This window comes from Homo sapiens, chromosome 2, assembly GCF_000001405.40.
Source record: "Homo sapiens chromosome 2, GRCh38.p14 Primary Assembly".
Lineage (NCBI taxonomy): Eukaryota > Metazoa > Chordata > Mammalia > Primates > Hominidae > Homo > Homo sapiens.
The window spans coordinates 63820546-63836051 of record NC_000002.12 but is presented as its reverse complement, the minus strand read 5'-3'; the positions used below and the strand labels follow the sequence as shown (position 1 = coordinate 63836051).

Genomic DNA, 15506 nt, shown 5'->3' with positions numbered 1-15506 from the left:
TAAACCCCCTTCTCTACTAAAATACAAAAATTAGCTGGGCTTGGTGGCAGGCGCCTGTAATCCTAGCTACTTGGGAGGCTAAGGCACAAAACTCACTTGAACATGGGAGGCGGAGTTTGCAGTGAGCTGAGGTCACGCCACTGCACTCCAGCCTGGGCTACAGAACAAGACTTTGTCTCAAAAAATAAAAATAAAATAAAGAGAAGATTCTCAGGACTGCTTTTTGGGTGAAGATTAAATAATTGAATAATTCTATGTCATTAGATGGATAATATGATTAGAGAATAAAAGGTAACTACTTTTTCTCTCTAATGAAAAAGAGGAGGTATGTCATATTTAGAGAAAAAACTACAGGAAAAAATATGAAATACTAATGTTAAGTTCTGGTGCCATTTTATTATTTTTTTTATTTAATTTTTTTTTTTAGATCACATAGCTACTATGTGACAGAACCAGGATCTGAACTGAAGCTATCTGACTCCAAAAACCCACAGGGAGGAAAATTTTCTCCCTTCGGTTTCTGGAGGTTGATTTGCTACCCCTCTCCATCAAAACAGAAAGGAGTGCAAATGGTCAGGCCTTTATCCGGGACAAGTAATCTCTTAATGACTGAAGTTCTCTAGTAATACTGTTTTCTTCTTTTTTTTTTTTTTTTTTTTTTTGAGATGGAGTCTCGCTCTGTCACCCAGGCTGGAGTGAAGTGGTGCAGTCTCTGCTCACTGCAACCTCTGCCTCCCAGGTTCAAGCAATTCTCCTGCCTCAGTCTCCCAAGTAGCTGGGATTACAGGGGCCTGCCACCTCACCTGGCTAATTTTTGTATTTTTTTTGGTAGAGACAGGGTTTCACCATGTTGGCCAGGCTGGTCTCAAACTCCTGACCTCAAGTGATCCGCCCACCTCGGCCTCCCAAAGTGCTGGGATTACAAGTTTGAGCCATGACGCCTGGCTTCTGGTGCCATTTTAAATTGCACTTCAATTTTTTTTTTAAATTTCAGTAAGAATACACAGCTTAAAAAAAAAATCCAGATAGTACCAAAATGCCAATAATGAATAGCAGTACTTTTTTCTAGAAAGTACTTTAAAATAATGATGAAGCTTTAATTTATAAAACATGCATGCATTGTTGGATCAGTCAGACCAAAACTACTTTGGATGCCACAAAAAGGGCACTTCAGCTGCTAACGAAAAATATCCGATGTCTACGAAATCAGAGTTTCAGAGCCACCAGAGCTGCACCATCCAGGAGCTCCATGTTGGCTGCAATGTGCTGAGCACAGCCAAGGAGGTAGGTGTTCCATTATCTGGACATCTACTTCAGGAACCAGCTACTGAACATACCACTCTTCACCTTGGATAAGAGGCCTGTGGAATTATTAGATGTTTTTTTATCATCCACTCTACCTGTAGAGATGCTGCTCCTCTTGGCCACCTTCCAGGAAGCTCTGGTAAATGCTGCTAGCAGCTGGACTGCAACCAGGCCAGGGGCTCCCAACTTGCGTGCCCCAGGCCTGAAAGAATCAATATGCTTCACAGCGTTAAGTCATTCAAAACATATAATTAGAAAATTCTGGTCTATATTACCTCTCTCACAACTGCTGAGCAGCATATTAAAAAAAAAATGAGAATTTGGAGCAGAGAGCAGTACTAGGAGAAAGACAGAGGCCATTCTCAATTATCAGTGACTTACAACAAGAGTTTACAAAGAAAATGTTAAGAGGTCAGCAACTTACTGAAGTTCTAGCTTTGCATGGATCTGTACAGCAACAAATTAAAAACAGACTATTTGGGTAATAGAAATTTATTGAAGACTGCTGTCTGGATTTGGAGCATCACAGACAGACTGAGAGACGTTCAGCTGTTTGATATGTAAGTCTTTCTAACACAGACCAGCATGGAATGGAGACCAGATAAAGTCACAAATGGAGTAATAGGATAATGAAAGAAAAAAGAATACAGATAGACCTTTGCTTAAGCTATGTTAGGCTGAAGGTTTTACCAGTTTCCTAGTGAGAAGGAATAAAACAGTGATAAAACCACATTGATAATTATTTGAAATTTGTGTGTGTGTGTGTGTGTGTATGTTGGCATACACTTACACATGTTCATATATTTATTTATAATTTATATTCTTTCTTATTCTAAAGAGAATTTGAGGCCAAGCAAGGTGTATATATTCCTAATTAAGTTCATTGCTTAGTAAACTGACCATACTATAGTTCATTCTTATAGTGGAAATTCAATTTAGTCATTCTCATCTAAAATCCTTTTTGTTGTCTTTAGATTGTCATGTTAAAGAACCTCTTCTTATATTATTTTTTAAATGACTTTTTCTCAACCCAGTGAACCCAAGTGATAACAGTCTAGATTCTGGGTCTAGAAAGAGTTAGGAAGTAAGCAAAATTCCTCAACATTATAGATGATATTCTAGATTAGGTATGCTATATATTACATGGTCAATCTCTGAAACTGTAAACACTGAAGTCTCTTCAAAAGAATCTCCACAAAATATGTACCATCATGTAAGGGTTCGTTGGTTGGTTTTAATTTATTGGTGTTTTTCTGTTTTCGCATATTGGTGTCTAGGGAAGCAGAGGAGTACATTGGAAAAAGCAGAGTTTGGAAAATAGGTCTTTTTTTTTATTTCAAATTTTGTCACTTAGAACCTGAGTAACCTTGGATAAATTACTTAGATAACCTTATGAACCTTAATTTCCTCACTTAAAGATGAGAATAACAACTAATAGCTTGTCTCACCAGACAGAGAGTTATTATATAATACAGAGGTGTTTGTTTGTTTTTTGAGATGGAGTCTCACTCTGTCACCCAGGCTGGAGTGCAGTGGCATAGCCTCAGCTCACTGCAACCTCCACCTCCCGGGTTTAAGCGATTCTCCTGCCTCAGTCTCTTGAGTAGCTGGGATTACAGGCGCCTGCCACCACACCTGGCTAGTTTTTATATTTTTAGTAGAGATGGAGTTTCACCATGTTGGCCAGGCCGGTCCTGAACTCCTGACCTCAAGTGATCCTCCCGCCTTGGCCTCCCAAAGTGCTGGGATTACAGGTGGGAGCCACTGTGCCCGGCCTGAGTTATTATAAAGATCTTCTCACTCTGTTAGCACAGAGTGTAAGTTCAGCTAATGATTATTCCCTGTATTGCCATATCATACGATTAATCTCAAGTTATTGTTATTAATTGATTTACTATTATAACTTATTAAATATTTATTTCCCCTTCATAGACTATAAGCTCTTTAAGAGCAAGGACCATGTCTCTCTTGTATCCCCAGAGTGTATCATAGTGCTTGACACATAATAGGCACTCAAAAGAAATTTGTTCAATGAACTATCAAATGAGATATTTATGAATGAATTTAAAAACTGTAGAGTACTGTATAGGTGTATATTAGAGTTTTCCCATTATTTCTATTGGAAACATGTTTTGGATGGCAAATAATCAACTTATAAATGTACTTTTATAACACAAAAGTGATCACTTCTAAGCAAGTCCTGCAGTAATAGATTGTTTGCAGAGATGGCCACAATTCTTCCCATCCCTGTGCCCCTTGCTCTTTTGCAATGTGACTTTGTCACTCCTCCCATTAGGAGGTGGAATTTCCCCCCCCCACCCCAACACCTGGAGTCTGTGTTGGCCTGGTGATTTTCTTTGACCAATAGAATACAGCAGAAGTAATGTTATGTGACTCAAGAAGCTTTTCAGCTTTCAACCTCATGCCTTGGAATACTGACCTGAGACTGCTGCATGAGGAAGGCCATTATTACCTGATGGAAAATGACAAGCTACATGAAGTAGAGATGAGTTTTTCCAGTTGAGGCCCCACTAGACCAAACAGTACAGACAAACAGGCTGCCAGATGCGTTGTAGCCCATCTTAGGCTATCCAGCTCTCATTAAACTGCCTAATGAGTCAAACTGGCCACATGAGTGAACTAGGTAAGACTAGTAGAAGAATCACCCAGATAAGCTATATCCAGTGCAGTGTATTGATACATAGTAAAAGTTAATTCATACCATAATTGTAGTCTCAAAGAAAACTCAAACCACTCAAACCACACTCATTTGCTCTTTGCTTAGTCCCAGAACTGCTCTTCATCTTTCCACAAGATGGGACTATGTTTTTCAGTCCACACATTTTTCACCTGTAAACTGTATTCTCCAAATCCTTCTGAGGAAGAGATCTCCTTTTATCACTTTCCTTGTCAAATCAATGCCCCCAAACTTAGAGATGTGCTTTTCCTCTACAGTTCTGAAGATTCTTTAAATGAAAAAAGATTGGTTTTGATGTTAAAAAATATTTTTACCCATGATTTAAATATATTGCTTTTGATATTCACTATATATATATATATATACACACACAAATATTCCATGCAGTGTTTTAATAGTTTAAAAACATTTTAAACATTTAAAAACTATTTAAATGTTTAAAAACGAGGATACAATTCAAATATCACTAGTATGGGCATTTAAATTATGTTAAATACATTTAGCATCAATATAAAAGGATAGTATCACTCATTAAAAGATGTGGTGGCAGTGTGTATTGACAAAGATATTCTTTATGTCTCAAGTGGAAAAAAGTTCAGCCATATAATGACCTGTGGAGCAAGTATGCCAGATAGAAAGGCAAGAACCGAGGCTCTGAAACAGAGCATTGTGTATTCTAGGAGAGAGGAGACTGGAGTGAGGAAATGAATAAGTGCAGAATGGCAAGAGGCAAGAAATGAGTTTGGAGAGACAAGATATAAGTTTGGAGGCCTGGCTGTGTATGTTTTAAATTTATCCTAAATGCAGTGGAAAGCAATCTAATCATTTTAAACAGAGAACTGACATGACCTGATTTACATTTTTAAGAGTTTAGAGATATATTTTGAAAGTGGAAATAACAGGAATTACTGATGGCTTAGATGAGGAGGGAGTTGTTAGGAGGAGGGAATGAAAAGGAAGAGTCAAGGGGAACAGTTAACCATGGGACCATTTTTTGAGTGGTAAAGGGTGAAGGAGATCCAGATTTAGAGATAGAGATCCATTTTGGTCATTTTAAGTTTGAAATTCGTAGGAGACAGACAAGACAGAGGTCAAGAAGATATTTAAAGATGTGAGTCGGAACCTCAGAAAAAAAATCTAGCCTGCTGGTATAAATTTAGGAATTGTCAACATATAGTTTTTTAAACCATGAGAATGGATAAGAGCATATAGGGAGAAGACACAGAATAGAAAAGTGGGTATAAACTCCATCATTTAGAGGTCACATAGAAAAAGGAAAACTGAGAGAGAATAAGGAAGAATAGCCAATTATTTAAGAAAACCAGGATAACGTGTGCTATAGAGCCCAGAGAGGAGAGTATCAGATATGGCCAGTTATGAGAATTCAGTTAACTGTGGAGAGAAAAGAGAGTCAGCCAAACAAAAGTCAGTTACCCTTATAAGAGCAGTAGAGTGATAGGAAGATTAAAGTAGATTGAATTTTGTCATTTATTAGCACCATTGATTATTAGATGACTATTATTAGATTATTCAAACAGCAATATCTTTATAGTTCCGAGAGAAAATTATTCTAACCTAGAATTCTACAGACAAACAAAACATTTAGGGATGAGGATAAATTAAAGATATTCTCACCTTTTTTTGACTTTTTACCCATTTCAGGGGAAAAAATTGCTTAAGAAATGTTCTAGCAAAATAAGAAGAGAACTGAAGAGAGAACATGAGATCCCAGTAATGAGATCTCAGTAATGAGGTTCCAGTAAAGATCTGTTGAAGGTGTGCAATAAAAAGGTATTTCAGGACCACAAATATTTAGGCCATCAAGATAATTAATAATAATAGGACAAGAAGCTGGAAAATTTCAGAGAATGGCTTTAAGAAAAAAGTAAATTTACTTTATGAAATATCATTATTAAAAACCTTAAACATATTTATGATAGGCTGATGATGCTTCTCTTGTCATCAAGACAGAAGAAATAGAATCTTTAGTAAAGGCAAAAAAATTGTATAAGCCATGGCTCAAAGACGAAATGAACTAAAATGTGTCATTATTATGAGTAATCAGTGGACATAATAAGAAAAGAAAATCCATTTGACATTGACACCTAGAACATTCTCCTTCAATAGGTGTAGATTTAATAACACGGCTTACATTTCTCTTCCCACACGTCCATTCATACCACTTGATTCTGCAGTGAATAAGATGTACAAAATTGTAATACTGAAAAAATCTTTAATTTTCAAAATAAAAGACAAAATTTAAGACAAAATGCACAAGACGATTATTCTAACAGAGCAAATAATACAAATATCAACAATGTAAAAGTACTGGTGTAACCCATGGTACTTGGGAAATGGAAGGAAGCGAAAGGATAAAATTTTTTAATCTTACACAATGGAAAAGTCAGGAGACACTTTCTAAATTAAGTACATCAAGAAATAGGTTTAAGTATTCTTTAAAGGAATAAAGTAGCAAATAGAATGTAATATAATATAATTTTAAAAATTGCAAAGAGAAGACTAAGGGAAGAAAAATGGAGAGTACTGGAACTGAGCTAAATTCTCATTGTTCATTCTCAAAATGTAGAGTCAATTTGTTAAAAAAGCAAGGAGTTGAACCAAACAGTGGCAGTGCAGTGCGTGCGTATTATTTTAAATTATGGAGTAACTATCAGAAGAGCTAAAAACAGTTTGATGTTGGCACCTTTTGGGCAGTGTTTTCAAGCTGTGGCAATGAAATCAATTTAGTAGGTTGCCACCTACATTAGGAGACAAGAAGGAAAAAGAAATATCAGGTTGCATTGCACTAGTAAAGACAGTAAAGATGAGTAAAACGTGTGAAATGTTTTTCAGCTTTCTGCATACCTGTAAAATGTATTTCCTACTTGAGTTTTGGTCAATAAAGTACTGTAGGAAGTAGAATTGGATTGTAAGACAGTTGTTTGGCTGCATTTTTATGTTTTATTTTTCTGCTCATCTATAATGTTTGAGTTTTTAAACTCGTGTATTACTTTTATCATAATAATTTTAAATGTTTCTGTTTTAATACATAAAAATACAAATTTATAAGCTTTTATAACACAAAGTGATATACATATTTTCTAACAAAAGCAAATATTAAGCAATTTTCTTGAGTAAAAAAATGATAGTCAATCTTACCATTGCTTAGCAAAATAGAAAAAGTTAAACTTAATAATTTTTAAAGATTATTTAAGGCTCACAAGAGGGAAGGCTAGGGCAGGGGCAAGAGTTTAAAACATTAGAATCCAGGCAATGGATTGAATAGGAAGAAGACAAAGCAAAAGAAATAAAAAATCTTAGGTATCATTGTCACAAAGAAAACCAATGCTAAGGATGATCTTGAATACAACCTTGATGATTGTATGTAGTAGTGTTCCATCTGACAGTGAAAATATTTGGGCCATCTGCATAGTTACACAGAAAACCTCATCTGCCTAAAAAGGAGAAAATGAAGCATAGAGGAGAGGTTATTTTTTCATTAAGTCAACAAATGTTTGAGCCTTAGGCACCGTTCTAGGTACTAAGTATATAGCAATGAGTAAAACGGTCTCTCCCCACATAGATATATATTCTTGGGGGAAGGAGAATGATGAACAAATATTTCATATAATATCAAGTAGTACTAAGTTTTATTTAAAAAGCAGGGTAAGGGATAGAAAGTTTGAAGAAGTTGGGTTCAGGGAAGCCCTCTCTGAGGAAATAGTTGGAGCAGAGGTTTGAGCCAGTTGGGAAAGCAAGCCAAAAATATATCTGGAAGAAATGCTTTCAAGCTGCAGTGCTAGGACATGCAAAAACTTTGAGTTGGGAGCATTCTGGGGAAATTCAGGAGACACAGTGGCAAGAAGAATGAAAAAAAAAAAAAGTAAATCCACACCTAAATAAAGATAAAGAAGAGATCTAAAAAACATCCAGGGAGAAAAGACAGATTTCTCAATTGTTACATAAATGGGTTAAAGATGGCCCCTGTGTATTAGCCCAATGTTTACTTCTTTGCAGCAGGCTAGGACCAGTAGATCAAAGCCTGTCAGTGCCAGACTCAAATTCTTGCATGTCTAGTTGCTTTAAATATAGCTCAAATGAGCATATTTTAGCCATTAGGTCATACCTGCTTGGCATACCCCCATGAAACTGCACCCAACATCTTCTGGCCATAGATAAGACAAACTCTGTGGCTATAAAAGACCACAAACAGCTGCTGCCCTTCAGAGCTATTGACCTAGAGATTCCTCACCTTGCTGCTTAGTGATGTTACCTAGACATGTTAAGATCCCTCTTGTTAGGAATTCCATGAAGCCTGAAAATGAAGCCAGCGTAGTGGAGAATGAAGAGACAGAGTTTTGATTACAAGGTTTGAACCGTTTAACTGAGATCCGCCTCTGCAGGCTATCCATGGACTTTTAAATTATGTAAGCCAATAATTTTTTTTATTCGTTTAGGCCATTTTAAGTTGGATTGTCTGTCTTATGCAAATGAAATGATCATGTTAGAGATGGTAGACTCAGCTCACTTTCTTAAATAAATTATTATAGAATCCATGATCAGTGAATTTCTTAAAATGTTGCTGGCTATAAAGATGGCTGTGACTAATAAGGCCAATATGCAATCAACATGTATAGGAGACCATAAAACCTGTGCACTGGTTTGATTGAACTATTTGAATCATAGTAATATTACATCTTTTGAGAATTCTAAGAAAAACAAAGAGAAAAGAAACAAGAAAAATATTGAGCATATTTTGTTTAATAAAACAAAGCTGAAGGATTGAGAAGAATACAATGACACAGGGTCAGAAGGAGGGCTTAATTTTGTTAGCCAAGTAACAGGGGTAACAGGGGATTGTATAATAGAAAATAAACTCTTGCCTCATTTTTTTGGGTTTATTGAAGGAATTTTAACAAATATGCAGTATAAGCTGCTTTTAAAATTTGCACATTTTGTTCACTAGGGAGTCTTTCTAGGATGACTTACAAGGAAGAAAGATTCAAGGAAGTCTGAAAGTCTTGAGACACAAGAGATTACATTTGCATTTTTAGAAGATTTTTCAAAAGATGGGAGACCTAAAAGTCAAATAAATACCAAATGGATTTGTGACAAAGACAATGGTCTATAGAAGTAGTTCTCAAAATTAATTTTAGCTTTGGACCATTTTTCCAAATTAAATCTTACAGAGAACTTCAAAATTAGAACTTCAAAGTTAGAAAAATGATATATTTGTTAGTACGGATTTATTTTTTAAGTTTAACTGTATAGCATTTATTTTTTAAAGAGTAGAAGAGGGATGCTATTTGGTGAACATGCAAAATATTTAAAATCAGGAGTTATGGATGACAGTTCCACTCTTATCTGCATTATCATTTAATTTATTTCTCTATTTTGGTTATGCAAGAGTAAGGTAAGTATTTCCAAATGATAACTTCAGGATACTTCTCAATTAAACTAACTTAGAAGCCTAAGAAAGAAGTAGCAGACTTTTTAAAAATTTTATTTCAAAGTTACACCACTAGTGTGTCTGTTAGTGGAATTAATTTTCATAAATATAAAAGAGAAAAAAGAACTAAAAGTTAACAAGGACTGCTTAAAATACCTATAATAGGACACAGTATTCTGGTGACAAGATGTCACCATAATGAATACTGAGAATTGTGCTAAGTCAGAAGATAAGAGCCTTTTAATATATATTGCCAAATATTACCCACTAGCGAGGCAGAGTGGCCTTTTCACAGTACTCTTGAACCCTGATTCTGAGGATATGTATTAAATTAAGCAAAGCAAAAACTCTCCTAGTAGGCAAAAAAGAAAAAATAGGATACAGTATCCTGTATCCTATTATAAGAAGTAAGACACCATACTTGTTAATGTGTTATTTTTGGTACGTAAGTGACTATTTTTCCTCAACAGAGAATTTGGCAAACTGATGCATCTGAACTTTTAATGGCATTGAATTGAGCAAGATACATGTGTATGTTGGCTTTTTGCTCATTTTTATAATTTTGTGTCAGGAAATATTTGTTGATGTGTTTTAATTTTTTTAAAAAAAGATAATGCAGGACTGTAACTTTCCATTTAATCCACATTTACAAGAAGTTTAAGTGAGCACACAAAGATGTAGATAAGGAAATCATAAGGACTGTTCACAAATATTCCAATTCTCCTCCTGGATATTTGGTAAGATTGCTCTTCCTTGTCTTCTTTGGAGTTAGTTGTAGCCATGTGCCTTGCTTTGGCCAGTGAAATGTGAGCAGCAGTAATAGGTATCATTATGGGGCAGACATTTTAAGAACAAGTGTCAGTGCACAATTCTCTGTTTCCTTTCCCCTGTCACATGATTAAAGTTCACTTTTGAGATGGAGTCTCCATCAACCTCAATTCCTGGGTGATGATGAACAGAACCCCCTGCTAATCTGCACTGGATGTATAAAATCAGAAACCATGTACAAGCAGAAGAATGTAGTTTGTTAGCAGAGAATAGAGAGTGGGACAGACTTGCAGAGAGAATTGGAGATGCCATCAGAGAAAGAGAGAGCAGCTGATCCCTAGAACTCTTTTGGCTCGAGGTGCTTCCCAGGTCTCATGGGTTCTAACACTAAACCTCATATTATCCTATGAAGCTTGAATAGGACTCCCAATCCTTGAACAATAGCAACAACAAAAAGCCTATATAAAACATTATTTCCACTCAGCAAGATATCACCGTAATGAATACTGAGAACTGTGCTAAGTCAGAAGATAAGAGCCTTTTAATATATATTGCCAAATATTACCCACTAGCGAGGCAGAGTGGCCTTTTCACAGTATTCTTGACTCCTGATTCTGAGGATATGTATTAAATTAAGCAAAGCAAAAACTTTCCTAGTAGGCAAAAAAGAAAAAAACTGTATTCACCGGCATTTATTAGTGAGACTGAAATTTTTTCAAATGTTTCTAAGTCATTCACCCTTTCTTTTGTAATTTTAAAAATTTATCTCGCGCCCAAATTTATTAAGGTCTTAAAGATTTCTTAAGGATTTATATGAGCTTTTTGTATTATAATACCTTTCACAAATATTTGCCCAATTTGCTTTCAGCTTTCACGTTTTTATTATGTGAAAATGTCAATTATTAACTGTTATATTGTAAAATACGTATTTTCCTTTGCTAGTTCACCATTGTGTCTAAGACTAAAAGTTTTACCTAACCAAAGATTATTCATTTATTTTTCCCTTTACTCTCTTTTTCTCATCTATTTGATTCTCATTTATATTGTACAAAAACCTTATATCAATTGAAGAAAACTGTAAATACAAAAAGAGATACACAAATGACCAAACTATTATTTTCTCTTTTAATGGTAAGATTTAAGATTTTTAACCTATAATTTATAATATATTTTAATTTGGCATACAGTATAAGATAAAGATTTGATTGATTCTTTTAAAAAATGGCTAATTATCCTGGCATTTTATTGAACAACCCTTCCTTTTCCTGTTTTTTTTTTTTTTTTTTTTTTTTTTGAAACATGGTCGCCCAGGCTGGAGTGCAGTGGCGTGATCACAGCTTACAGCAGCCTGGACCTCCTGGGCGCAAGCAGATCTCCCACTTCAGCTTCCCAAGTAGCTGGGACCATGGGTATGGGCCACCATGCCTGGCTAATTTTTTTTTTTTTTGTAGAGATAGGTGCATTAGTGCATTTTTATACTACTGTAAGAACTGCCTGAGATTGGGTAATTTATAAAGAAAAGAAGTTTAATTGATTCACAGTTCCACGTGGCTGGGGAGTCCTCAGGAAACTTAAAATCATGGTAGAAGAGGAAGCAGGCATGTCTTACATGGTGGCAGGAGAAAGAGAAGATGTGGAGGAGGAACTGTCAAACACTTATAAAACCATCAGATCTCATGAAAACTCACTATCATGAGAACGGCATGGGGGAAACTACCCCTATGATCCAGTCACCTCTCACCAGTTCCCTCCCTTGACATGTGAGAATTAAGGGGATTACAATTCAAGATGAGATTTGAGAGGGGACACAGAGCCAAACAATATCAACAGGGGTCTCCCTATGTTGCTCAGGCTGGTCTCAAACCCCTGGGCTCAAGCAACCCTCCTGCCTTAGCCTCCCAAAGTGCTGAGATTACCAGGCATGTGCCACCATGCCCAGCCCATTTCCCACTATTTTGTTGTGCTTTTCCAGTATCATTTTTGACCAAATATAATGAAGTCTTTATTTCACTGTATCCATTCTACAGTTCACATTTATCTGTTTCTTTGTTTCATGGTGGCTTTTGAAAGATTCCATTGAGTATAACAAAATTTGGTTATCAAAATATCCCTTAAAGGTTACTGGTGTATTTAGGGGGAGAGTGTATTTAGGGGGAGAGTGTGATGATGTCTATGATGTTTGCAACTTAATTTCATTTGGTTCTGGAAAAAGAGACAGAGAGAAAACAAACAACAAAATGTTACTCTAGTGATTCTAGTATTCACTGTACTATCTTCTATCTTTTATGTAGGTTGGAAAAGTTTTTTTTGTTTGTTTGTTTTTGTTTTTGAGATGGAGTCTTGCTCTGTCACCCAGGCTGGAGTGCAGTGGTGCAATCTCAGCTGACTACAACCCCTGCCTCCCAGGTTCAAGCAGTTCTGCCTCAGCCTCCTGAGTAGCTGGGACTACAGGTGCGTGCAACCACGCTTGGCTAATTTTTGTATTTTTAGTAGAGACGGGGTATCACCGTATTGACCAGGCTGGTCTTGAACTCCTGATCTCATGATCTGTCCACCTTGGCCTCCCAAAGTGCTGGGATTACAGACGTGAGCTACTGCGCCTGGCCAAAGTTTTTTGTTTTTTTTTTTTTTTGGGTGAAACTTTTTGTTCCTAAATGAAATTTTTTAAATTGAGGTATAATTTACAAACAGTAAAGTAGGCTTGAAATTTTACAAAATGAAAGTGAGGAAAAAAACAAAAACAAGACATTTTAAGTGAGATTTGGGATTTGGTTCAATGTTTAAGACAAAAAACTTGGTATCAGAGTTTTTCTGATGAGTTATTTGTTGTGCCATTTTTTCAAAGATTTAATTAAATTTGTCAATGGGTGTTTTGTATTTTTACAGACACCAAGATAGGTTAATAATAACAGAAGCAGATCTGATCAAATAAATGAATATATATATACCAAATATATATATCAAATATATATATATATTTAGAGACAAGGTCTCACTCTGTTGCCCAAGCTGAAATGCAGTTGGCTCAAGCAATCCTCCCACTTCAGCCTCCTGAGTAGCTAAGACTACCACTGCGTGCCACCACACCCAGCCAATTAAAAATTTTCTTTTAGAGACAGGGTCTTGCTATGTTGCCCAGGCGGGTCACAAACTTTCGGCCACAAGCAGTCCTCCCACCTTGGCCCCCTAAGGTGCTGGGATTATAGGTGTGAGCCACTGTGCTCAGCTGACTGAATACTTTCCTCTGTCACTCATATTTTGAGATCTGTGTAAAAAATAAGAGCTACTTTTAATTACTGTTTGACTTTTTCAAATCTGTGAGTTATATGTTATTCATATAATAAAGTAAAATCCAAATTTAGTGTGTGCAAACTGATACTTTGAAAGTTTTAAAATAAATCTCCAAAGCTGAATTTTAATATAAAAATTCTACAAACTCTAATTTCTTTTAATTATGTCATAATAAATAGGTAACATATTGGCCAGTGCTTTGTGTTTTGACAACTTCAGTGTCAACAGTACAGAGAGTGGACCATGGTGAACTACCTCAGACAAAAAGTCTAGTTAGGATGCGGTCACAACAGGCCGTCTATTGCTATTTCCAGTGTTTGACTCAATATTAGTCTCAAATTCTATTTTAAAATTGTTACATAAAACAAAACAGTCATTTTACATAATAATTTTAAAAACAGAGATAAAAAACAGGGAATAATTTTAAAAAACTGGGAGTAACTATTAATATTATTCCCCATATTTTCCCTTTGAAGTTCAGATTGATTGATTCACAAACCCCATCTCTTTTCTATTTTCTTTAATAAAACATTGAATTGTTTCACAGTATATCTCAACAATCGTAATCCCTCTTCCCTCACACAGAGGTGGTTCATATTTTAGTCTTATGTTAATTAGCTGAGTGACTGAAAAGGTGCTGAAAACCTATCCTTACTACTTAACTTCATACCTTAAGTGTGCGTTTGTGTGTGTATTTTTTTCTGAAATCCTTTGATATCCTCAATTTTGAGCTTTAAGCCTTTGAGTAGGGCCTATAGTTTTAGCTCATTTTCACTGACTGTTATCATTTTATGTAACAATTTTAAAATAGAATTTGAGACTAATATTGAGTCAAACATTGGAAACAGCAATAGACGGCCTGTTGTGACCACATCCTAACTAGATTTTTGTCTGAGGTAGTTCACCATGGTCCACTCTCTGTACTGTTGACACTGAAGTTGTTGTCAAAACACAAATCTGATCTTGTCACTCTGCTGCTTACAAAGCTTCCACGTCTCCCAGCCACCTACAGGTAAAATCAAAACTCCTTAGATGAGAAAAAGAACCTTTCACTATCTGGTCTCACCTAACTCTACCCTCCTCATTTGTACTACACTCAAAGGAACACAGGAGCTGTAGCCACGCAGTGATACTTGTAAATCTTAACAATTATTTTCCATGTCAGTGCTTTTGCACTTATTCTGTTATTTCCATTTAGATTGTCCTGCCCTTCTCTCCCTACTTCCTCACCCCAAATCTTAGTATCCTTCAAGAGCCAACCCAGAGTTCACCTTCTTAATGACACCTCCAAGTTCAGACTCCCTGGCAGAGTCAGTCACCTCCTCCTCTAGGGACTAGACAAATCATAGTCTAGTGGGTGAGAGAGACATGGAAACAAATAGTCAAACACATGGTCAGAAGAACTGTGAACTCCTCAAGGACAAGGACATCATCATTTATTCATGTCTGTGTCTCCAGTACCTACTAGTCACATGTCGAATTAAATGTAACTGAATCATGTGGAATGAATTTATAATTGCATTTTCACTTCTAAGAATATTGACTATGTAGATTTTCAAAAGCTATAGTCTCATAATTTGGCTTTAAAAAACAAACCACAAAATGGTTGCTAAAGTTTTAGAAATAAGTATATATACTATAGTTTTTAATAAATTTAAGTTAAATTTATATGGGATTTTTGTTTGTTGTTTTTTTTACTTTAAGGTTTGTGTAATTCCTAGAACCTAGGTAAATGCCTCAGAGTAATTTGAAAGCGTATAAAGCATAGAAATAATATTGGTATGGATAACTAAGATACAAATATTAAGTTTGTCCCCAAAAAACCACCGTTTCCTAAAAAGAACACACGTTTTTTTGCAGAGACCAAAATGCGGAAATATTTAATGAGGCATTGCAAAATATACAAGCCCCCGCTTCTAAGGGAGGCAAAGTCAAGGTTCAGACTGAACTTTGCTTAGCAACTTTGGAACCATGTGTTTAAAGAATGAGATAGGT

General features: G+C 35.8%; 1 protein-coding gene across 5 annotated transcripts in view; it reads left to right on the top strand.

Moving 5' to 3' along the window:
• Positions 1-15506, top strand: part of WDPCP (WD repeat containing planar cell polarity effector) — a 721268-nt gene that overhangs the window by 4775 nt on the left and 700987 nt on the right. The window contains exon 1 of one of the 5 annotated variants that reach the window (XM_047444628.1): positions 8229-8430. The exons of the other annotated variants lie outside the window; for them this stretch is intronic. The gene's annotated coding sequence lies outside the window, so the exon portion shown is untranslated. Of the gene's footprint in view, positions 1-8228; positions 8431-15506 lie in introns of those variants that run through there. 5 annotated transcript variants of the gene reach the window in all.